The 25591-nt window shown below is 38.8% G+C and overlaps 1 long non-coding RNA gene across 1 annotated transcript in view; it reads left to right on the top strand.

Annotated features, from left to right (window-relative positions):
- Nucleotides 1-25591, top strand: part of LOC102724068 (uncharacterized) — a 96106-nt gene that overhangs the window by 49229 nt on the left and 21286 nt on the right. The window contains exon 2 of the long non-coding RNA XR_007096116.1: nucleotides 15594-15725. This is a non-coding gene — a long non-coding RNA (uncharacterized LOC102724068). The remainder of the gene's footprint in view (nucleotides 1-15593; nucleotides 15726-25591) is intronic.

The raw sequence follows: 25591 nt of genomic DNA, 5'->3' as shown, positions 1-25591 counted from the left end.
GCATTTCACCAAACCTGCCCAAAAGCCTTCATTTGCTTTGTTCCACCACACAAAACTGGGGGTAATGTGAGCTACTCAGTAAACAGGTCAGAGCAGCACACTCAGATGTGTTATATACTGCTTTTAAAATCCAAGAGACTTATCAAGGATTGGATCTCTTTCTTAGTGGTGGGCAATGCAGGGAGCAGAAACAACTTTTATTTTGGAAGCAATGTCCTAACAAATTCTCAGACCATTAAGCCTCCAGAAAATTGCACCAAGTTGGTTGGTTTCTAAGTTTTAATGGAGTTTATCTCCTATCTTTTAGTAGTGCATGTACTGGTAGGCGTTTTATACTTTTCACCATATCCAATCAGCATGAATGTCATTTTAATAGATTAGTATAATGATTTGTAGAATGTCAAGATGACTAAGTCTCTGTGGCTAGATTATGACAGAAAGCAAGAGAATTAACATAGCCTTAAGGGAAGAGAGGGAAGGAAGGTGTATTGCTGTCCCAAACATAAATGAAATGAATTCTGAAGGCCCAGATGAGAAAGAGAGAGAGAATTGGCAGAATAACTGCCTACCAGGTGCCAAGGATTGTATTGATTTGCTTCATTAAAAAGATACTATATTTGGAACACCACCCGATCAAGTTTGCAATAATTCATTGTCATTCTTCTTTATAGGCCAATGAGTGAGTTAAATGGGTATGTGATAGGAATTACCACTCCTGTATTAATCACGTCTTGTGTTACTGATCTCTGTGATTCCCAGTGGGATGTGGTGTTTCTTTTGGAATAACTATTCTGGTAGAGAGAGGAAGTTCCAGAGGCTCCACTTGCTTCTTTCTGCCATAATAGTCACCACTCTATAGTTCAAGGGGTCAGTATAGGAATTCTACCAGTTGCTCAGTATGTCTATTCTGATTATACATTCTGGAAATTGGGAGTGATCACAGGGTGAGTATGTTGATTCACTGGACTTACTGTGAGATGTTCCCTGGCCAAAACTACTTATCATCTATTCTCCGTAAGCCTCAATATTAAATGTTACACTACAATGCAACATTGAGATATTAGCTTCAACTTAGCTCATATTTAGGAATTCTAAAGGTTTCACAGTACAAAGTAACCATCATAAATGGCCACAAGTCTTTCTGGGTAAGACTTGTAGAAAGATTTAAATTTTTTACCTGTGGATGTAATGCAGGGACCTCCTCAGAAGGGCTCAATATTACCTTCAAGGGGCTTTCAGAACTTGCAAGAAGCTCTAACTTTCTTTTTTATTGTTTTTTTGATATGGAGTCTCACTCTGTTGCCCAGGCTGGAATGCAGTGGCCAGATCTCGGCTCACTGCAAGCTCCACCTCCCGGGTTCACGCCATTCTCCTGCCTCAGCCTCCTGAGTAGTTGGGATTACAGGCACCTGCCACCGCGCCCGGCTAATTTTTTGTATTTTTAGTAGAGACAGGGTTTCACCTGTTAGCCAGGTTGGTCTCCATCTCCTGACCTCGTGATCCGCCCGTCTGGGCCTCTCAAAGTGCTGGGATTACAGGCGTGAGCCACTGTGCCCGGCCAAGAAGCTCTAACTTTCTATAAGGCCATTCATCAAGCTTCTTATTGCTAGATTTAGAATATTTCTGGTTATATAGGTACAGTAATTCTTTAGTAAACTGTCAATCTATTTTATTCTTAGGAATGCTGTGGTCAATTAGCCATTGTCAAAAGTTCCATAGAGGCCAGGCGCGATCACTCATGCCTGTAATCCCAGCACTTTGGGAGGCCAAGGCGGGTGGATCACCTGAGGTCAGGAGTTGCAGACTAGTCAGGCCAACATGGTGAAACCCTGTCTCTACTAAAAACACAAAAATTAGCTGAGCGTGCTGGCAGGCACCTGCAGTCCTAGATACTCAGGAGACTGAGGCACGAGAATAACTTAACCTGGAAGGAAGAGGTTGCAGTGAGCCGAGGTTGCTCCGTTGCACTCCAGCTTGGTTGACAAGAATGAAACTCCTTCTCCAAAAAAAAAAAAAGTTCAATAGAATCAAAACATTATGATAGCCACTTCATCTCAGTTCCCTACTATGTTAATTACACCAATCTTGTTTCTGGTTATAAAGTTCTACAATGTGGTTTCTGCTACTTCTGGATCATATTATTTTATTTTTATTTTTCGTTAAAATAATAGAGACATTAAAATGATACAGTATTGGATATCCTATGCTGATTTTATTCCTAAGGTATGTTTGTTGACTGTAATTAAAATTTTTGTTTCATTTTCTAATTGTTTGCTTCACTCATGATTTGGGCTCTCTGTTTGTCTGTTATTGGTGTATAGGAATGCTTGTGATTTCTGCACATTGATTTTGTATCCTGAGACTTTGCTAAAGTTGCTTATCAGCTTAAGGAGATTTTGGGCTGAGACGATGGGGTTTTCTAAATACACAATCATGTCATCTGCAAACAGGGACAATTTGACTTCCTCTTTTCCTAATTGAATACCCTTTATTTCTTTCTCCTGCCTGATTGCCCTGGCCAGAACTTCCAACACTATATTGAATAGGAGTGGTGAGAGAGGGCATCCCTGTCTTGTACCAGTTTTCGAAGGGAATGCTTCCAGTTTTTGTCCATTCAGTATGATATTGGCTGTGGGTTTGTCATAAATAGCTCTTATTATTTGGGGATACATCCCATCAATACCAAATTTATTGAGAGTTTTTAGCATGAAGGGCTGCTGAATTTTGTCAAAGGCCTTTTCTGCATCTATTGAGATAATCATGTGGTTTTTGTCGTTGGTTTTGTTTATATGCTGGATTACGTTTATTGATTTTCATATGTTGAACCAGCCTTGCATCCCAGGGATGAAGCCCACTTGATCATGGTGGGTAAGCTTTTTGATGTGCTGCTGGATTCGGTTTGCCAGTATTTTATTGAGGATTTTTGCATTGATGTTCATCAGGGATAAATTCTCTTTTTTTGTTGTGTCTCTGTCAGGCTTTGGTATCAGGATGATGCTGGCCTCATAAACTGAGTTAGGGAGGATTCCCTCTTTTTCTATTGATTGGAATAGTTTCAGAAGGAATGGTACCAGCTCCTCCTTGTACCTCTGGTAGAATTCGGCTGTGAATCCTTCTGGTCCTGGACTTTTTTTGGTTGGTAGGCTCTTAATTATTGCCTCAATTTCAGAGCCTGTTATTGGTCTATTCAGGGATTCAATTTCTTCCTGGTCTAGTCTCAGGAGGGTGTATGTGTCGAGTAATTTATCCATTTCTTCTAGATTTTCTAGTTTATTTGCGTAGAGGTGTTTATAGTATTCTCTGATGGTAGTTTATATTTCTGTGGGATCGGTGGCGATATCCCCTTTATCACTTTTTATTGCGTCTATTTGATTCTTCTTTCTTTTCTTCTTTATTAGTCTTGCTAGCGGTCTATCAATTTTGTTGATCTTTTCAAAAAACCAGCTCCCAGATTCATTGATATTTTGAAGGGTTTTTTGTGTTTCTATCTCCTTCAGTTCTGCTCTGATCTTAGTTATTTCTTGCCTTCTGCTAGCTTTTGAATGTGTTTGCTCTTGCTTCTCCAGTTCTTTTAATTGTGATGTTAGGGCATCAATTTTAGATCTTTCCTGCTTTCTCTTGTGGGCATTTAGTGCTATAAATTTCCCTCTACACACTGCTTAAATGTGTGATTCTGGTATGTTGTGTCTTTGTTCTCATTGGTTTCAAAGAACATCTTTATTTCTGTCTTCATTTCATTATGTACCCAGTAGTCATTCAGGAGCAGGTTGTTCAGTTTCCATGTAGTTGAGTGGTTTTGAGTGAGTTTCTTAATCCTGAGTTCTAGTTTGATTGCACTGTGATCTCACAGACAGTTTGTTACAATTTCTATTCTTTTACATTTGCTGAGGAGTGCTTTACTTCCAACTATGTGGTCAGTTTTGGAATAAGTGTGATGTGGTGCTGAGAAGAATGTATATTCTGTTGATTTGGGGTGGAGAGTTCTGTAGATGTCTATTAGGTCTGCTTGGTGCAGAGCTGAGTTCAATTCCTGGATATCCTTGTTAACTTTCTGTCTCGTTGATCCGTCTAATGTTGACAGTGGGGTGTTAAACTCTCCCATTATTATTGTGTGGGAGTTTAAGTCTCTCTAAGGACTTGCTTTATGAATCTGGGTGCTCCTGTATTGGGTGCATATGTATTTAGGATAGTTAGCTCTTCTTGTTGAATTGATCCCTTTACCATTATGTAATGGCCTTCTTTGTCTCTTTTGATCTTTATTGGTTTAAAGTCTGTTTTATCCGAGACTAGGATTGCAACCCCTGCCTTTTTTTGTTTTCTATTTGCTTGGTAGATCTTCCTCCATCCCTTTATTTTGAGCCTATGTGTGTCTCTGCACGTGAGATGGGTTTCCTGAATATAGCACACTGCTGGGTCTTGACTCTTTATCCAATTTGCCAGCCTGTGTCTTTTAATTGGAGCATTTAGCTCATTTACATTTAAGGTTAATACTGTTATGTGTGAATTTGATCCTGTCATTATGGTGTTAGCTGGTTATTTTGCTTGTTAGTTGATGGAGAATCTTCTTAGCCTCGATGGTCTTTACAATTTGGCATGTTTTTGCAGTGGCTGGTACTGGTTGTTCCTTTCCATGTTTAGTGCTTCCTTCAGGAGCTCTTTTAGGGCAGGCCTGGTGGTGACAGAATCTCTCAGCATTTGCTTGTCTGTAAAGGATTTTATTTCTCCTTCACTTATGAAGCTTAGTTTGGCTGGATATGAAATTCTGGGTTGATAATTCTTATCTTTAAGAATGTTGAATATTGGCCCCCACTCTCTTCTGGCTTGTAGAGTTTCTGCCAAGAGATCCGCTGTTAGTCTGATGGGCTTCCCTTTGTGGGTAACCCGACCTTTCTCTCTGGCTGCCCTTAACATTTTTTCCTTCATTTCAACTTTGGTGAATATGACAATTATGTGTCTTGGAGTTGCTCTTCTCAAGGAGTATCTTTGTGGTATTATCTGTATTTCCTGAATTTGAATGTTGGCCTGCCTTGCTAGGTTGGGGAAGTTCTCCTGGATAATATCCTGCAGAGTGTTTTCCAACTTTTCCATTCTCCCCGTCACTTTCAGGTACACCAATCAGACGTAGATTTGGTCTTTTCACATAGTCCAATATTTCTTGGAGGCTTTGTCTGTATCTTTTTATTCTTTTTTCTCAACTTCTCTTCTCACTTCATTTCATTCATTTGATCTTCCATCACTGATACCCTTTCTTCCACTTGATCGAATCAGCTACTGAAGCTTGTGCATTCGTCACGTAGTTCTCGTGCTGTGGTTTTCAGCTCCATCAGGTCATTTAAGGAGTTCTCTACATTGGTTATTCTCGTTAGCCCTTTGTCTAATCTTTTTTCAAGGTTTTTAGCTTCTTTGCGATGGGTTCGTACTTCTTCCTTTAGCTTGGAGAAGTTTCATCATCTGAAGCCTTCTTCTCTCAACTCGTCAGTCATTCTCCGTCCCACTTTGTTCCATTGCTGGCAAGGAGCTGTGTTCCTTTGGAGGGGGAGAGGTGCTCTGATTTTTAGCATTTTCAGCTTTTCTGCTCTGTTTTTTCCCCATCTTTGTGGTTATATCTACCTTTGGTCTTTGATGATGGTGACGTACAGATGGGGTTTTGGTGTGGATGTCCTTTCTGTTTGTTAGTTTTCCTTCTAACAGTCAGGACCCTCAGCTGTAGGTCTGTTGGACTTTGCTAGAGGTCCACTCCAGACCCTGTTTTCCTGGGTATCAGCAGCAGAGGCTGCAGAACAGCGAATATTGCTGAACAGCAAATGTTGCTGCCTGATCGTTCCTCAGGAGGCTTTGTCTCAGAGGGGTACCCGGCCTTGTGAGGTGTCAGTCTGCCCCTACTGGGATTGCCTCCCAGTTAGGCTACTCGGGGGTCAGGGACCCACTTGAGGAGGCAGTCTGTCCGTTCTCAGATCTCAAACTCCATGCTGGGAGAACCACTACTCTCTTCAAAGCTGTCAGACAGGGACATTTAAGTCTGCAGAGGTTTCTGCTGCCTTTTGTAACAATATAGTTTCATTGTACACCACTCCCCATCATTTGTGCTATTCTTGTGAAACATATCTGTATGTGTTATAAAGTGTGTAACATAGTGTTATAATTTTTGCTTTAGTTATATATCCTCTAAAGGAATTACAAATTCTATAATATTTTGTATTTACATGTATCTTTACAGGTAAGAGATCTTTCCAGTTCTCTTCAGTGTGTGTGTGTGTGTGCGCGCGCGCATGTTCATGTGTGTGTAGATTTGAGTTTCCATCTAAGTTCCCTTCAGTCTTTAGAACTTTATTTAGCATTTCTTCAAGTAGTATTCTCATGACAACAAATGCCTCAATCTTGTTTTATCTAAAAATGTCTTTTCTCACTTTTATCTTTTGTGGACAATTTTTGACAAGATACAGAATTCTGGATTTTTTTAGCACTTTAGAGGTATCATTTTATTGTGTTCTGACCTTCATTGTCTTTAAAGAGGAGCTATTATTCATTTATTTCTTTTTTACATTATGTGTTGCTTTTTTCTGGCTGCTTTTAACATTTTAACTTTATCTTTGGTTTTTAGCAGTTTGATCATGCATGCCTAGCCCTAATTTTCCTAGTATTTATTTGTTTGGGGTTCTCTGAGCTTCTTGGTTCCATAAATTGATATTAACCAAATTTGAGAAAATTTCACCTATAATTTCTTCAAATATGTTTTTATTCTCCATTGTCTGTTGCCTCTTTTGGGTCTTTAGCTGCATGTATGTTAGATTGCTTAATATGGGTCCACATATTACTGTGGCCCTTTCATTTTTTTAAAGTTTTCTGTTTTCCCTGCCCTTCACATTGGAAGACCTATATTGATCTGTTTGAGTTCAATGACTCTTTCTTCTGCCATTCCCAATTCACTATAAAATGCATCCAGCAGGCCAGGCATGGCGGCTTACCCCTATAATCCGAGCACTTTGAGAGGCCGAGGTGGGTGGATCACAAGGTCAAGAGATTGAGACCATCCTGGCCAACATGGTGAAACCCTGTCTCTACTAAAAAAATAAAAATAATACAAAAATTAGCCGGGCATGGTGGCGTGCACCTGTAGTCCCAGCTACTTGGGAGGCTGAGGCAGGAGAATTACTTGGACCCAGGAGGCAGAGGTTGCAGTGAGCCGAGATCGTGCTACTGCACTCCAGTCTGGTGATGGAGGGACACTCCATCTCAAAAAGAAAACTAAAACAACAACAACAACAACAACAACAACAACAACAAGAAAACCCATCTGGCAAATATTTATGTCAAATATTGTACTTTTTAGTTTTTGATTTTTCTATTTGTTTATTTTACATAGTTTTCACTTCTCTGCAGAGGATCCTCCTCTATTCATTCGTTTTTCTATTAATTTTTTTATTTAAACATCCATATACTTCTTTAAGTGCTTGAAAATATTAATAATAGCTGCTTTAAAGTCCTTACCTAATAGCTCCAATGTCTGACTTATCTCAGAGTCAGTTGATATTGACTGATTTTTTTCTCATGACTTTAACTTATATTTTCCTGTTTCTTCACATTGTCTAGTAAGATATAATTGTATATTGGATATTGTGGATGACACATGATTGAAACTCTGAGTTCTCTTATCTTCTTCTGGAAAGTGTTGATGTTTATATCAGGAGGCAGTTTCTTCGTTGGACTCAACTCCACATTCTGTCTCTCCTATGGTAGGCAACAGCTGAATTCAGCTTTTTCTGTCCTCCACTTACTGCTTTTTGCCACAGTTTTTGAAGTTTCCTCCCATGCATGTGTATTTCATTGATCACCTGAGGATTTGGGTTGGCTTTACATGCAGATTGTGCGGCTTTACCTTTATAGCTTCCTTACCTTTCAGCCACCCTGGAAACTCTGAACTCCAGCCTCTCAGTTCTCAGGCTGCAGGACTGTGAATATTTGCTTAACTTACACCCCCATGGTATGGATGTGGGAATGCCTGCAGGAGGAAATCTGCACAAACCAATATCCAGTGATGTCCCCTTTATCATGCTCCTCCGATTTCTGCCTGCTTTTCGCTGCTCTTTAATGTTTTCTACTAGATTACTTCTTTCCCAATTTTGTCCAGAGTTTATAATTGTTATCTATGGGAGAGTTTGTGATGGAAGTTACTCTTTTGTTACTGAAATAGAATTCCCTTACCCTAAACTTTTAAACATAAAATATATACTTGTACACCAACTCACCAAGTTTTTGATGTGGGGCTATGGCATTTTCTTTGAGTATGTACCTTTCTGATTATGTATGTTCACAATTTCCAATTTGGAGTTCTTCAAAAGTAGAACAAGAGCTTAAAGACGTTTGTGAAGTGCAAAGCTCATTGTCATGCTCCTAGGCTCAACCTGATAATTATACCTGTAGTTACCTAACTACAATTGTGAGGCCACAGTTGGTTTCAGCTTCTAGCAGAAAGATATAGCACAGTAAACACAGCAGGATATCAGGACAGTGTCAGGTATATCTTTCATGATGTTCTCGTAACATTCAAGAGTTATTTTGTAGCCCTTTGAATGACAGCTCACATGTGAGAGGAGACCGTAGTTGGGGGTATGAGAGTGAGACAGATTGTATTTTTCAGTTATGGCCAGGACAGTATTTCCCATTCCATATGTTCTTCTTAAGATGTGAACCTGTGACTTCTTTTATCATAGCGGTAGGAGTTTGTCTCTTTCCTTTGGGTCTACTTTGAGGAATTCGAGACAGCTTCTTTTTCTTTTTGGTAATATGAGGATTACCTGCATTTTGAATATTTGCTAGAATTCATTTGTGAAATCATCTGTCTATAGAAGTTTGGATGAATGGGAGATGTTGAGATGGTAGCTGTTTGACATATTTGTTTTTCTGGATAGGAATTCATATCTTTATTTAGCATATCAATGTGGCCATTGTCCAGAGGAGTGGATTACATATTCCAACAGTTGTTATTACATTGGTAAGAAAAAAAGAACTTGGGAAGAGAGCCTGATGGCCTGCACTTTTAGAAACTCCAATCTGCTTTCTATAGATAATAAAGAAAAGATGGTAAGATGTAAATGTTTCAAATACTATTAAAAGCAGATTTCAGTCAATATTATATTTGTAGAAGTAATCCATAGGCTTGTACATGTTAGGTTATTTGTTTTCAAGGCTGTGTATTTAATTGATTGACTTCATAATTTTTTTTATTTCAATAGGTTTTTGGGGAACCAGTGGTGTTTGGTTACATGAATAAGTTCTTTAGTGGTGATTTCTGAGACTTTGGTGCACACATCACCAAAGCAGTGTACACCATACCCAGTGCATAGTCTTTTATCCCTCACACCCCTCACACCCTTTCCCCAAGGTCCAAAAGTCCATTGTATCATTCTTATGCCTTTGTGTCCTATAGCTTAGCTCCCACTTATGAATGAGAACATACAATGTTTGGTTTTCCATTCCTGAGTTACTTCACTTAGAATAATGATCTCCAATTCCATCCAGATTGTTGCAAATGCCGTTGTTTTATTCCTTTTTACGGCTGAGTAGTATTCCATGGTGTATACATACTCATTTTTTTTTATCCACTTGTTGATTCATGGGTATTTGGGCTGGTTCCATATTTTTGCAATTACAAATTGTGCTGCTATAAACATGCGTGTGCAAGTATCTTTTTCATATAATGCCTTCTTTTCCTCGGGGTAGATACCCAGGAGTGGGATTGCTAGATCAAATGGTAGATCTACTTTTAGTTCTTTAAGGAATCTCCACACTGTTTTCCATAGTGGTTGTACTATTATAGTTTACATTCCCAGCAATGGTGTAAAAGTATTCCCTTTTTCACCACATTCATACCAACATCTGTATATATTTTTTTTAATTTTTTGATTATGGCCATTCTTGCAAGAGTAAAGTGGTATCGTATTGTTTTGATTTGTATTTCCATGACCATTACTGATGTTGAGCATTTTTTCATATGTAGCCATTTGTATATCTTCTTTTGAGTATCATCTATTCATGTCCTTAGCCCACTTTTTGATGGGATTCTTTATTTTTTTCTTGCTGATTTGAGTTCCTTATTGATTCTGGATATTAGTCCTTTGTCAGAAGTATAGATTGTGAAGATTTTCTCCCACTCTGTGGTTGTCTCTTTACTGTGCTGATTATTTCTTTTGCTGTGCAGAAGCTTTTTAGTTTAATTAAATCCAATCTATTTATATTTATTTTTGTTGCATTTGTTTTTGGGTTCTTGGTCATGAAGTCTTTGCCTAAGCCAGTGTCTAGAAGGGTTTTTCTGATGCTGTCTTCTAGAATTGTTACGGCTTCAGGTCTTAGATTTAAGTCTTTGATCCATCTTGAGTTGATTTTTGTATAAAGTGAGAGATGAGGATTCACCTTCATTCTTCTACATGTGGCTTGCCAATTATCCCAGCACCATTTGTTGAATAGGGTGTCCTTTCCCCACTTTGTTTTTGTTTACTTTGTCGAAGATCAGTTGCCTGTATGTAATTAGCTTTACTTCTGGATTCTCTATTCTGTTCCATTGGTCTATATGCCTGTTTTTATACAGTACCATGCTGTTTTGATAACTATAGCTTTATAGTATTATAAAGCCATATTTATAAATTATAAAACTATGGCTTTAAAGCATTCTTTGAGCTTCTTGTATTTGGATGTCTAGATCTCTAGCAAGGCTGGGGAACTTTTCCTCAATTCTTCTCTCAAATATGTTTTCCAAACTTAGATTTCTCCTTTTCTTGGGAAAACCAGTTATTCTTAGATTTGGTCATTTAACATGATCCCAAACTCCTTGGAGGCTTTGTTCATTAAAAAAAAAAAAGAATGTTTTTTTCTTAGTCTTTGTCAGATTGGGTTAATTTGAAAGGCTTGTCTTTGAGCTCTGACATTCTTTCTTCTCCATGTTTGATTCTATTGCTCAGACTTTCCAGTGCATTTTGCATTTCTGTAAGTGTGTTCTTCATTTCCAGAAGTTGTGATTGTTTTTTATTAATGCTGTATATTTCACTGGAGTTTCTCCATTTATATCTGGTACCTTTTTTTTTTTTAATTTCTTTAAGTTGGATTTCACTTTTCTCTGCTGCCTCCTTGATTAGCTTAATAATTAACCTTCTGAATTCTTTTTCTGGCAATTCAGAGATTTCTTCTTGGTTTGGATCCATTGCTGGTGAGCTAGTGTGATCTTTTGGTGGTATTAAAGAACTTTGTTTTGTTGTATTACTAGAATTGTTTTTCTGGTTCCTTCTTGTTCGGGTAGACTATGTCAGAGGGAAGATCTGGGATTCAAGGGTAGCAGGGGAGTAAAGTAGACTGTGTGAAGGTCCTTGGTTCTATTTTTGTTAAGTACAGTGGTTTTGTGTTGGTTGGCCTCCAGCCAGGAGGTGGTGCTTTCAAGAGGGCCTCAGCTGTGGTTGTATAGCTAGGATACAAGCTTGCCCTAGGGTCACCTAGAGATAAGTATTGAGGTTTCTCAGGTGGTGGGCAGGGCCATAGAACTCCCAAGAGAGTATGTCCTTTGTAGTTCCTCAGCTGTCCCACGGAGTCTGAAGTGGCAATCCACCTCCTTCCAAGGGTCTGTGGATTATCTCAGCTTTCCTGGTGTGTTCCTGTGGTAGGTCTTGGAGCAAAAGTTCATGATGTGGGTCTCCACATGCTGCTCTGTCGGAGCCCACAGTTAGTCTTGCCTCCTATTTGCCATTTTCCACAGGTCTTCTTTGACATATTACTTAGTTTCTATCATGGTTTTCCCTCTCCTATTTTTTTTTTTTTTTTTTTGGTTTGGGTAATTTATATTTTCCTTTGAAAATCACACATTTCATTCATATCTTCAAAATTCCTAACACATTGTTGAATGAAGTGTTCTTTTGTGTATATCTTTGGATTTCCTTGCATTTGTGTTTTCTCCTTTTTTCATTCCTATTTTATAATTTTGTACTTTCTACATTTTATTCTTGACTAAACTGACAAATGATATTTTAGCTGTATTGAATTTTTTTCTCTGAAGAATCTGCTCTTAAAATATTTAATTCTATTTGTTTACCACCAATTTATTTTTTGTTTATATTTTTCTCAAACTTTTGAAAAATTGTTTTTTCTTTCTCTTTTAATCTTTGATGATGAATATTTATTTATTTTCATTCTTGTGTGTTTAGAGATATGTGTCCAAGGATATGAACTTTCCTCTGGGTACAATTTTGAAGTTTTTGTAGTTCTAATTTGTAATGTTATTTTTAAAAGATAGTTAACGATTGCAGTTAAATCTATTATCTTTGACCCAATAGTTAATTGAAATGTTTTTCTCCTGATTTTCCAGTGTTTGGTTTTTCTGTTTCTACATTTGTTACTTATTTGTTTTATTGTATTGCCATCTTAGAATGTGGTTGGTATTATAATAGCTTCTTGGAATTTATTCCTGAAAGATGTTAATTTTTATAAATGCATTATAGCAACCTAGAGATAATTTTAATTATTCACATATTTTATATCCTTATTTATATTCATATACTTTATCTGTCAGAGACCAAAACAGGTACACTTGAATCTTTTTATTACTTTTATATTTTTGTCAGTTTCTCTTTTATTTTCCTATGATTTTCCATTACAAATGTTGATGCTTTGTTATTTGATTCCTAATGGTTCATGACAGTATAATCTCCATGGACTGCAGACTTCATCATTACTAAGTGACTGCTTCTGTCCCTATGCAATGCTTTTGACCTTGAATTCAACTTTGTCTAATAACAGTGTCACAACTCCTATCTTATCTCCATTCAGATTTCTGCTCTAGGTTAGAAAGTTGGTTTGGGGACAATAGAAGTGATGTAGCTGCCCATCTCTCTCTCAGCCCTGTCTGCATTATTTCCTCTTGTAGTAGAAGAACAGCCTCCTGCAGGGTTCACTTTCTTCTTCCTGGCTCTCCTAAGCCCGTGTTTCTATATCTCCTAGGTGAGCCCGTGAGATCCCTCTTCTTTATCTTTTCAGGTTTTCTAAGCACTGGGGATGCACTCATGAATAAAATACAGACACTGAGTCTTAAAGTCCTCTTGCTTTATTGGAGACAATCAGAGTGTAAATTCATAGTACAGAAAAATAAGAGTTACAATTGATGCGAATTCTGCTCTATGTAGGTAGATGCTGTGGGACTCAGACAAGGAACACCTCCCCATTTCAGTCTTCCTGAGGAGGTGAAATGAGGTGGCCTATGGCCTGAATAGGAGTTAGCCAAGCAAATGACAAGGTATATGTGGTATACAAGACAGACAGGATAATATAATCAGAGTCATGGAGATTGTTATTAATATTCACTCTTCACAGAGAAAGTAGTTGAGTTTCAAAGAAGTGATGTACTTAGCCCAAGATAAGAGTTAATAGGTGGTGGGGTCAGACTTGAATCCAGGTCTTTCTAAACCTAAAGTCTGTATTCTTCTGTCTAGTGTGTCACTTGCCCAAATACATTTTCCTTTCAGTCACATTCCATTTCCTTGCCCTCTTTATGTATTTATGTGTCTAGCTATCATACCCTTCTCTAGTGACAAAGCTTTTATACAGAGGAGCAAATGACTGACAATAGTCTAAGATACTTTCTCTCCAAAGAGATCTGTATTTTCATGATGTAAGTTAGAAGCTAAAAGAATACAACTACAGCAATGGAATTCCATTCTTTGTTCAGAGAGGGAGATTTCAGAGTTGCCTTGTCAATGTCTGGTAAATTTCACCACTTGAGCTGAAAGTTGTGAGTCTGAGTTAAAATCTGGCCTTGTTCTGAGCATCCCTCTTTTTCTTTGGATTTCTATTCTTTGTGTCCCTTTTCTCACACTAATTCCCAAATTCTTTGTACAAGGAAGGAGTCTCCAACCCATTTCCTTTATGACTGAAGTGATGGAAGACCTGGCCCTCTGGAGGAAGGTGCTGATTGGAATCATAGACTGCAATGGATGAGAACAAAATTTTTCACCATTTGCACTTTTCTAAAGCCATTCTTGCTTATGTTTTGGTTCATATTTTATTTCCAGGTCTTGTGAGGACCCTTTATCTTGGAGTTCTGAGCCTTCCTTGTCTAAAAAGATTTTCAGAGTTGTGGGCATGCTTAACTTACTAGTGTCAGGAAGAGGCTGTGATGGACCTTGGGCTCTCTGTGGGTGTTCTTTTCTGAATTTGCACTGCCCTCTCAGCCTACATCTTTAGACCTCTTTGTGGTGGGAGCCCTCTGAGGCCCTGAATCTGGTTGTTCAGTCCTCCTGGAGTACATTTGCAGTTGGGGCTGGGAAGAAAGGGCTTTCCCTCAGGCTTTGTCTATTCCCTGTTTCAGGAAGATAGGTGGTCTTGCCAAGAGCCTGGTCAGTGAGAGCTATCTTGCTCACAGGTGTTTTATTCTGTGGCTCAGTATTTAGTGAGCTCTGCTCATTCAACATTGATCAACAGTTTCATATCCACCCTAGAGTTTCCAATTCCAATGAGTATTGCTTTGAAACTCAGGGATTCCCTAACACTTGGCATGAATTATTCTTAACTTTCCATCTGTATTTATTTATTCAATCAAACACATACATACCATCTTGGAAAGCTGGATTGTGCCCAGGGTGTGTTAGCTACTTTAAGAAATGTAAAAATAGAGGTTCTTTATTACATCATTCAGTTTATACTTTTGCCTTTGCTGACTATATTTTTCAAACCAAAATCAGGGTATATGGTGGGCGTTCATGATTTTTTATTTTGAAATAAAAGAATACCTAATGAAGACTTGCTTAAGCAGGGAGGAAAAGGAGTTTTTGGCTCATTTAACTGAAAATCCAAGAGCATAGATAGTTTCAGGTGCAACTGGTTCTGAGGATTCAAATAGTCTCAAGACTCAGTTCTCATCATTACTATATCGGCTGCAGTATCAGGTTCTATGTGGTAACATAATAGTGGCAACAGACTCACACTTTGTCCTTAAGGTTTAAATCCAGAAATGAAGAACCTGTCTCTCTCCCAGAAGTCTCAGCAATATCTTACTGACTCTGATTGGGTCATGTGAGCATCTTTAAGCCAATCACTGTGGCTAGAAAAATGCGGTGTGCTGATTGGCTTAGACTCAAATTACATGTTTACCCTTACAGCTGGGCATGGCTTTAACTCATTCAGATTACATGGATTGAATATGAGACAGGGTGGTTCCCCAGAGAAAGACTGGGATAAGACACCAGCACAATGGCAAAGGGATGATGGGAGGCCAAAGCAACAGATATCCACCACACCTACTCTGATCAAGAATTTTTGAACTTCTGGACATAAAGCCAGATTGGAAGAAGTAATATGATGCCAGTGTGTTGTCATTTCTGGAACATATTTTTTGGGCAATGTAAGTTTGTCACAGAAAGTCAGTGATTTATGGTCATAGAACTGCTATCTCAGTCTTGATAGTCTTTAAAATTATTTGGTAACATCTCCCAGGAAAAACCAACAGAGAAAAAAGTGTTTTACCCAGTCTGGATACTGTTGACAATTTTGAGAGACATTGTTTTGAAAACTTATTTATTATATGTGCTGAGTACCTCTAAATTGCTTTTAACATCTTGCAGAGAAGCCTGAAGTGCTCTGAAGGCTGCCAACAAAATGTCAAGTGAGTCCACTGACAAAAAGGAAGAGAAACCTTGGAAAAACATTATTGCTTATGTTCCATCTGAATCTGAGCAGCTGACCTGAGGAAGGAGGTAAGAAGAAATGAAGGAATGAAATACTGAGTAAGCACTTTACTAATAGTTTTAGAGGGAGGGATTCTACCTTTATCACTGAAACTCTACGAGAAACACCCATAGCTTCAAAGACATTGGAATGCCTTTGCTTGTAGAGCAAAACTTACAGAATGAAAAAGAGACCTCAGCACAAATTTCTTTGAGCAATGTTTACTAACAGACTTGGGTTAGCCAAATGATTCCTCAAAAAGCTCTTAACATTTTTAGGAAAGCAAGCAAAATTATTAATCTTGAAATATTCATTATCAGTAGACATATTTTACGGCAAATACAGAACAGTAAACTTGTGCCAGGACAGTGATCTGATAGTGTTGGGAGAGACAGCCATGCTGCATAGATTAAAGTCAAGGCAGTGGAGAAATGCTTATAGATAAGTAGAAGCCATAGAATTCAAGAGCTTCCAGGGAAAATTCTATTCCAGTGAATGCAGAGTCTCACTGCTAACAAAAGTATTTGAGCAAATTCATTAAGGACAAAACTGTGGTAAGCTCCCAGAGAATAGAGATAGACCTGTAAACTCTGAGATGGCTTGTCCTTTGGAGATTTGGGTGGTAAAATCACTGGGTTGAAAGGTTTGTGCTATTTATTTTGCTTACATAGTTAAATTAACATGATGTATTACTCTTTGAAAGGATTATATGCCAAAAGGCCAGTGGTTATTCTGATGGTCCTGAGGTCTCCTAAGGGACAAGCTTGAGGAGGGACTTAAATGGCCAAGGATGAAATAAGAAGCAGAAGAGGCTAATGGTCTTTCTGATCCAAAGCTGTAAGGCCCAATGAACCAATTGAGTTTAATCTTTCTTTTCCCCCTTTCTCATGTCCTATGTGCTTACACACAAAGTTCAAGACAACTTTTGCCCCAAAATTGCCTCAACCAAAAAATGCCTGAGTGGTAGGTGGAAAAGGGGAGTTCTGTTTTTGGTGTTCAAAATCCTTTCCTTTTATGTTTTGGGTGCTTTTCTTTGGAATTACCTTTCCTCCTCTTTGAAGAGGTGAACTTTAGAAAGGAAGACTTATAGATGACTTTGGTTATAGCTGCCTCTCAGGTAAAAGAAGCCCTCTACGTAGTTTATCCTAGCTTACTGGGGGCTAGAGTGGAATTGAGGCCACAGTTTCCTTCATGGTAACACATAGGATGTTTTCCTGGCATACATGACACTATAGAGGAGGAAAGGGAAATGGAACAGGTGACTGTGCAGAAGTGGATTCTGAATTTTGGTATCCTTGATCCAGACAAATTTAGCCTGTTTCCATCACTCACAATCATCCTAGGTAGAATTTAAACTTAGATCAACCAGATTTCAAAGCTCATGCCTTTTCTTTGAAACATTTTCTACTCAGAAGCAGTGTCATGGAGGACAGGTAGAATTTAGAAAGGCAGAGGGGTGGGGCAAGAGGACTCAAGAGAGGGCAGAAGAACAAGGAAAGGCAGAAGGCCAAGGAGAAAGCACTGGATTACTAAGGATGGAATGTGGTGGTGGTGGTAGAGTAATTGAGACCTCTGGTGCTGGAAATGGGGACTTTAGATGTAGTGATAATAGAAAAGTGATAGTGGAGAAATCGAGACCAGGAAAGGACCCTGTCTTTGGAAGGTGAATGGAGTAGTCTGGGGAGTCTGAACAGACATGGACATGGTGGCAGCAGACTGTTAGGGGCAGGAGCCTTGCGGCTGCTGTGGTCAGCAGCGACTGATTTTCCCGAACTCTTTCATAGACACACCAATCCATCGGCTCCAATTCCATTTTTGCTTTGGAATTGCATTTCTAATCCAATTCCTCGATCTGTTGGCATTTCCTCTGTCTCAGAGGCTTGCAGGCCTGTGACTGAAGAGGTGCAGCTCCCAGTCCCCCTCACTTAGCACTGTCAGTTGGCGGAAGTTAAGAGTACAAAGGATCTTGGTGGATGGCTCAGAGTTCCTGCAGCTAAGTTATGGCCAGATTAAGGCCTTTAGATTGAGTCACAAATGTGAGAGAGATTCTGGAAGTAGAGGAAGGCAGGTTTAGAAAGAAAAAGTGGTTCCTTATGAGCTGATCTAATCACAAATGAGCAAAGAAAGCTCCTGGAGCCTAGGCGACATGCTGGCTGAGTAAATGAGGAAGAGGATTTTCACCAAATAAACTGTCTCCACCTACCACTCCTCAATTACCCTTAACTCTTCGGGGCTAGCATGGTAATGATGCATTTAGTTCCCAAGACCTGTAATGGAAAAGAAGAAGGCAAACTGGTTAAAACAAATAATGACTCACGTGACTAAAATGTCTAGCAGTAGAGAGTGCAGTCTTTAGGCACATTCTGACCAGGGCTCTGGCTCCATTTCTCTGGCATTCTTTCTGCTCTGCCATTTTGAGTCAGTTGCATTCCCAGACTGGCTTGCCTTAGAGTTCAATGGTTGGAGCATTCCTGGGCTTCACATCAATACACCATTCCATTCAGAGAAAGAGAGATTCTCTTTTCCAAACCATCAAAAGTCTTGAATTTTGTTCTAATTGAACCAATTACTCTGTTGAGGAGGAGGATCTGCTGTAGGACTTTTGGGGCTAGTGTCAGGATTGGGGTTGGTAGATCAATCTCACTCAGACCCTGTGCCTACACAATGGATGGAAAGAGATAGATGTTGGAGGGAGAGGGCAGCCAGCAATGTCCTCTCCAGAGTCATCAGAGCAATGGACAAGTGTATCCATAGCATGGATACACTTATGTGGAAGAGGACAAAAAACATGTTTACCACAATAGTACAGATCTAGGGCCATACCTGGAATGGGTATAGCATTGCAGAAGAAATATTTTTTCTTGTTTACCCCAAATATACCATTGGCAGCAAAGGCAATGATTACAGGGTCATCTTCTCTATGACATTTCCATAGCCTTGCCAAAGAAATAGGTTGATAGATTGATGTATAGATGGATGGATGGATAGCTAGCTAGCTGGTGGATAGGTGGCAGATAGATGGATAGATAAGGCAAATTCCATGGGTCTATGTGTCTGTTTTTGTACCAATACCATGATGTTTTGGTTACCATAGCCTTGCGGTATAGTTTGAAGTCAGGTAATGTGATGCCTCAGCCTTAGTTCTTTTTGCTTAGGATTGCTGTGGCTATTTGGGCTCTTTTTTGGTTCCATATGAATTTTACAATTTTTTTTTCTAATTCAGTGAAAAACGTCATTGATAGTTTGAAAGGAATCACATTGAATCTGTAAAATGCTTTGGGTAATATTGCCATTTTAATAAAATTGATTCTTTTTATCCATGAGCATACAGTGTTTTTACATTTGTGTTGTCTCTGATTTTTTTCAGCAGTGTTTTATAATTCTTGTTGTAGAGATCTTTTACCTCCCTGGTTGGCTGTATTCCTAGGTATTTTATTCTTTTTGTGGCTATTGTGAATGGGATTGGATTCTTGATGTGGCTCTCAGCTTGGACATTATTGGTATATAGAAATGTTAGTGATTTTTGTACTTTTTTTTTATCCTGAAACTTTGCTGAAGTTGTTTATCAGTTCTAGGAGCCTTTGGGCAGACACTATGGGGTTTTCTAGGTGTACAGTCATATCATCTGTGAAGAGAGATAGTTTGATTTCCTCTCTTCCTATTTAGATGCCTTTTATTTTTTTCTCTTGCCTGATTACTCTGGCTAGAACTTCCGGAACTATGTTGAATAGGAGTGGTGAGAATGGGCATCTTGTCTTATTCTGGTTCTTAGGAGGAATGCTTCTAACTTTTGCCTGTTCAGTATGATGTTGGCTATGGGTTTGTCATAGATAAGTATTATTATTTTGAGGTATGTTTCTTCAATGCCTAGCTTGTTCAGGGTTTTTAACATGAAAGGATGTTGAATTTTATTGAAAGCCTTTTTTGTCTTTTGAGATGATCACATGGTTTTTGTTTTTAGTTCTGTTTATGTGATGAATCACATTTATTGATTTGCATATGTTGAACCAATTTGCATCCCAGGAATAAAGCCTACTTATTTGTGGTGAATTGGTTTTTTTGATGTGCTGCTGGATTTCACTTGCTAATATTTTGTTGAGGATTTTTAAATCTATATTCATTGGAGATATTGGCGTGAAGTTTTCCTTTTTTATTGTGTTTCTGTCAGATTTTGATATCAGAATAATGCTAGCCTCCTAGAATGAGTTAGGGAGGAGTCCTTCCTTCTCAATTTTTTTGGAATAGTTTCAGTAGGATTGGTATCAGCTCTTCTTTATACATCAGTAGCAATCAGCTGTGGACCCATCTGGTCCAGGGCTCTTTGGGGTTGGTATGTTTTTTTATTACTGATTTAATCTTGGAACTTTTTATTGGTCTGTTCAGGATTTCAGTTTCTTCCTTGTTCAACCTTGGGAGGTTGTATGTTTCCAGGAATTTATCCATTTACTCTAGGTTTTCTAGTTTGTGTGCATAGGAGTGTTTATTATAGTCTCTGAGGGTTTTTAAAAATTTTTTGTGGGGTTGGTGGTAATGTTCCCTTTGTCATTTCTGACTATGTTTATTTCTATTTTTTATTAGCCTACCTAGTTGTCTCTCAATCTTATTTATTCTTTTAAGGGACCAACTTTTGGTTTCGCTGATCTTTTCATGGATCTGTTTCATTTTGTTGTTCATGTGTCTGTTTCATTCCGTTAAGCTCTGATTTTGGTTATTTATTTTCTTCTGCTAGCTTTGGGGTTGGTTTGCTCTTGTTTTACTAGTTTCTGTAGGTGTGATGTCAAGTTGTTAATTTGAGACCATTCAAACTCTTTGATATGGGTGTTTAGCACTATAAACTTGACTCTTTACACTGCTTTAGCAGTGTCCCAGAGATTCTGAAATGTATCTTTATTTTTGTTAGCTTCGAAAAATTTCTTGATTTCTGCCTCAATTTCATTATTTACCCAAAAGTCCTGCGTGAGCAGATATTTTAATGTCCATGTAATTGTATGGTTTTGAGAGATCTTCTTGGTGTTAATTTCTACTTTCGTGCTGTGGTCTGAGAGTGTGGTTGGTATGATTTTGGTTTTATTAAATTTTTTGAGAATTGCTTTATGGCCAAGCATGTCATTAATTTTAGAATGTGCACAACATGCTGATGAAAAGAATGTTTATTCTCTTGTTTTTGGGTGGAGTGTTCTGTAGATATCTGTAAAGTCCAATTGGTCAAGAGTTGAGTTTGGGTCCCAAATATATTTGTTATTTTTCTGCCTCAGTGGTTTTTCTAATACTGTCAGTGGGGTGTTGAAGTCTTCCACTATTATTGAGTGATGATTCAAGTTTCTTTGTAGGTCTCTAAGAACTTGTTTTATGAATCTGGGTGCTCCAGTGTTGGGTGCATATATATTTAGGATAGTTAAGTCTTCTTGTTGAATGGAACCTTTTATCATGATGTGACACCCTTTTGGATTATTGTTGGTTTAAAGTCTATTTTGTCCAAAATAAGAATAGCAATCCCTGCTGTTTTTTGTTTTCCATTTGTTTGACAGATCTTTCTCCATCCTTTTACTTTTAGCCTATGTGTGTATTACACATAAGGTGGGTGTCTTGATGATAGCATATTGTTGGGTATTGCTTCATTATCCAGCTTGCTACTCTGTGCCTTTTTAGTGGGATGTTTAGCCTGTGTATGTTCAAGGTTACTATTAATATGTGTGGATTGGTCCTGTCATGTTGTTAGCTGGTTTTTAATGTAGACTTGATTGTGCAGTTGCTTTATAGTGTATATAGTCTATGTACTTAAGTTTGTTTTTGTGGTGGCCTATAATGGTCTTTTGTTTCCATATTTAGTGCTCCCTTGAAGACTTCTTGTAATGCAGGTTTTGTGGTAAGAAATTCCCTTAGCATTTGGTTGTCTTAAAAGGATTTTGTTTTTCTTTTGCTTATGAAGCTTAGTTTGGCTGGATATAAAATTCTTGTTTGGAATTTATTTTCTTTACGGATGATAAATATAGGCCCTCAATCTCCTTGGGCTTATAGAGTCCACTGGTGGCCTTATGAGGTTCCCCTAATGGTGAATATAGGCCCCCAATCTCCTTGGGCTTATGGGGTTTCTGTGGAAAGGCCCACTGGTAGCCTTATGGGGTTCTCTTTGAAGTTGACCTGCCTCTTCTCTCTAGCTGTCTTTAATATTTTCTCTTTTATGTTGACCTTGGATAATCTGATGACTATGTGTCTCAGTGATGGTCATCTTATATAGTATCTTGCAGGGGTTCTCTGAATTTCCTGAATTTGAATGTCAACCTCTTTAGTGAAGTTGGGGAAATTTTCATGGACAGTATCCTTGAATGTTTTCCAAGTTGATTTTTCTCTCTTTCTGTCTTTCAGGGATGCCAGTGAGTCATACGTTTCGTCTCTACATAATCTCATATTTCTTGGAGGTTCTGCTTATTGTTTAAAATTCTTTTTTCTTTATTTTTGTCAGACTGAGTTGATCAAGGAATCAGTATTTGAGCTCTGAGAGTCTTTACTCAGCTTAATCTATTCTGCTGTTAATATTTTTGATTGTATTATGAAATTATTATTGTGAGTTTTTCAGCTCTATCAGATCAATTTGGTTCTTTCTTAAAATGGCTATTTTGTCTTTCAGCTCTTTAGTCATTTTACTGGATTTCTTAGATGCCTTGGATTGGGTTTCAATTTTCTTCTGAATTTGATGATCTTTATTGCCATCCAGATTTTGAATTCTGTGTCTGTCATTTTAACCATTTCAGTCTGGTTAAGCACCATTGCTGGGGAGCTAGTGCAGTCATCTGGAGGTGGGAGACACTCTTGCTTTTAGCATTGCCAGAGTTCTTGCACTGTGTTTTTCTCATCTCTGTGGGCTAATATTCCTTTAATTTTTGAAGTTGCTGTCCTTTAGTTGGGGCTTCCTGCTTTTATATTATTTGATGCTCTTGAGGTTTTGACTGTGGTATAGGTTGGGTTTAGTCAACTGGCTTTCCTTCTGGATGATTTCAAGGTGCCAAGTCTCAGCTCAGCACTCCTTGGCTGAGTGCTCTAACCCTGAGTGGCTGGGACCAGGCCCGTGTCTTTATTCTCTGGCGCCTCAAGGTTAAGCATCTGCTGTATTGGAGGGGCTGAGGTGTTCCTGGTCCACTGGCAACAATACTCTGACGGGGGTGCCAGAAAAAGCACTTTGTCAGGGCAGTGGCAGTGGTATTTGTGCTTGCACGTGTATGCCAATGGTGGTGAGGTGGTAAGGTCCACATTGCATGCATTTGCCAGCAATGCAGTTGGGGCAGACTGTGAGTGGGTGTGAGCTGACAGGGCCCATCTGCAAAAGCTTTCTGATGGTTAGGAGGAGTCTGCCAGTGAAAGAGTTATGGTGGTAGCTGCTGGGAAGTGCCCTGATTGGGCAACCGAGGCTGTGTTGTAAGCAGGTGTGACCAGGCAGGGACCCTGGGAGAGGCTGGCATACAGGGCAGTGTTCAGATCAGACTGACCCCTTCCCCTAGGCAGGATATCCCTGTTCTGTCCAGGTCTGACAGTCAACAAAGGCCAAAGCCTCCTAGAGGAACATGGCAAGTCTTGGTGGATGAGCATTCCTGGCCATGCTCCACTGCCCCCACTGCCACATTAAACCTTTTGGGCTCTACACAGACTGGATCCCTGGTCCTGCCAACGTTTTAAACAGCTCTCCATGCCAACTCAAATGTCATTGTGGGTTGTGGGGTCTTTTGCATCTAGGATTTCCAGAGGCCCATGGCAAGTGTGGCTCACTCCATGCCTGTTGTAACTCTTTCCCCAGGAGCTACTTGGGGCCAGGAACAAGTCCTGGTGCTCAGCAACCCTGTGCAGGGTTCCCAGATTCCTCTCACTTCAGCCCAGGGTCTGTGTCCTCCCTCTGTTTGCTCTCAGCGCCTTCCTTTTGAAGATCTGCTCGGAATGTGCTGGTCTTCTTAATGGTCTGGTCTGTCAGTGACAGAAGCTCTTCCTGGCTGAGTCTAGTTTGCCATCTTGGCTTTTTCAGTTTTTAAAAAGCAAGAAATCTAACATCTAGGTGTTTGGCTACTATTTTGCATCTCTTCACATTCCAGGGGTCTTTCCTTTGCTCAAGGCAGGTGATCAGGTCTGGCTTAGAGATAGCAACACTATTTTCTGGCTTCTGGGGGTCCTGGCATCGTAGTTATGTGTCTCCCAATACCTGCAGGTCATAGAGTCACAGAGGCTGTGGGAGAGTCACCTGGGACTCCAAGAGCAGTGGACATAGAGCAGTAAAGGCAGGACCTGGAGTGTTGGTGTCCCAGGAGAGCACTCTTCAGCTCCCACTTCGGAAACTTATAACAGAATGTATCCACTCAGCCTGGCTCTTCTCTGTCCTGAACCTTGATCTTGACCTTATACAATATATATAAAAATTAACCCTAAATAGATAGTACTTTCATATAAAAGCTAAAACCATAAAACTTCTATAGGAAAACATAGAGGCAAGTTTTTTGACCTTGGCTTAAGTAAAGATTTCTTAGATAAAACACAGAAAGCAGAAAGTATAAAAGAAATTTGATAAATTGAACTTCATGAAAATCAAATCTTTTGCCCTTTTAAAGACTATCTTAAGAAAATGGGGCCTACTTGAGGGACGGTCGGGAAAAATAACTATCGGGTACCATGCTTAGAACCTGAGTAATGAAACAATCTGTTTGCCAAACTCCTGTGATATGAGTTTACCTATATAACCTTTTGCATATACTCCTGAATCTAAAATAAAAGTTAAAAAAAAAGAGACAGTGAAAATACAAGCCTCAGACTGGGACAAAATTTTTGCCAACTGTATATTGAATAAAGGACTTATATCCAGAATATATAAAGAACTCTCAAAATTCAGTATTAAGAATCAAAACATTGAAATTTTTAAAAAGGCAAAAGATTTGATCAGGCTCTTTACCACAGAAGATATATGAATGGCAAATAAGCATATAAAAAGATGCTTAACATTATTTGTCACAGGGGAACTCCAAATTAATGGTACCTCAATGAAATACCACTACATACACATGAACATGGCCAGATATAAAAAGACTAATGATACCAAATGTCAAACAGAATGTGGAACACCTGGAACTCTTGTAAATTGCTGACGCAAGAGCAAAGCAGGATAGGCTCTTTAGGTAATAATTCGGTATTGTCTTATAAAGTTAAACATATATTTACCTTATCTTCCAGCCATTCTACTTCTGTGTATTCATCTTAGAGAAAAGAAAACATATGCCACATAAAGATTTGTATACAAACGTTCATGGCAACTTTATTCAACATAGACAAAAACTAGAAACAACTTATATGTCCACTAACAGGTGAATGGATAAGTAAATTTTGATACATTCATACAATGGAATACTACTTAGCAATAAAAAGGATCAACCTAATGATATGTGGAACAACACAGATAAATCCTAAAAGCATCATGTTGAGTGAAAAAGCCAGACCTAAAAGACCATATACTTTATTCTTCCATTGTATGATATTCTAGAAAAAGCTGAAGTGCAGTGATGGGATCCAGATCAGTGGTTGCCTGAAGAAAGAAAGTTGGGATAGAGGCCAAAGGGAATGTTTTGGGAGTAATGCAAATATTCTATATCTTGACTGTGGTGGTGGTTAAAAGATTATATTCAATTTGTCAAAACTAATAAAATTGTACACTTAAAATGGCTGACTTTTGGTATGTAAGTTAAACTTCAGTAACTCTCATTTTAAAACTTGTTATAGTGTGTTTTGTTTTGCTGGTTACAAGGTTTCCATGTTATTGCACAGTGGGTGAGGTGTCCGAGTGCTTGAGACCTGGTTTAGGGTGCATGGCAGAGTACTGTGAGGAAAGAGGGGCAGCCTGGGCTGCAAAGCATCAGCAGCTTTATAG

Source organism: Homo sapiens, chromosome 3, assembly GCF_000001405.40.
Source record: "Homo sapiens chromosome 3, GRCh38.p14 Primary Assembly".
Lineage (NCBI taxonomy): Eukaryota > Metazoa > Chordata > Mammalia > Primates > Hominidae > Homo > Homo sapiens.
This window is presented reverse-complemented; position numbering and strand designations above follow the sequence as displayed.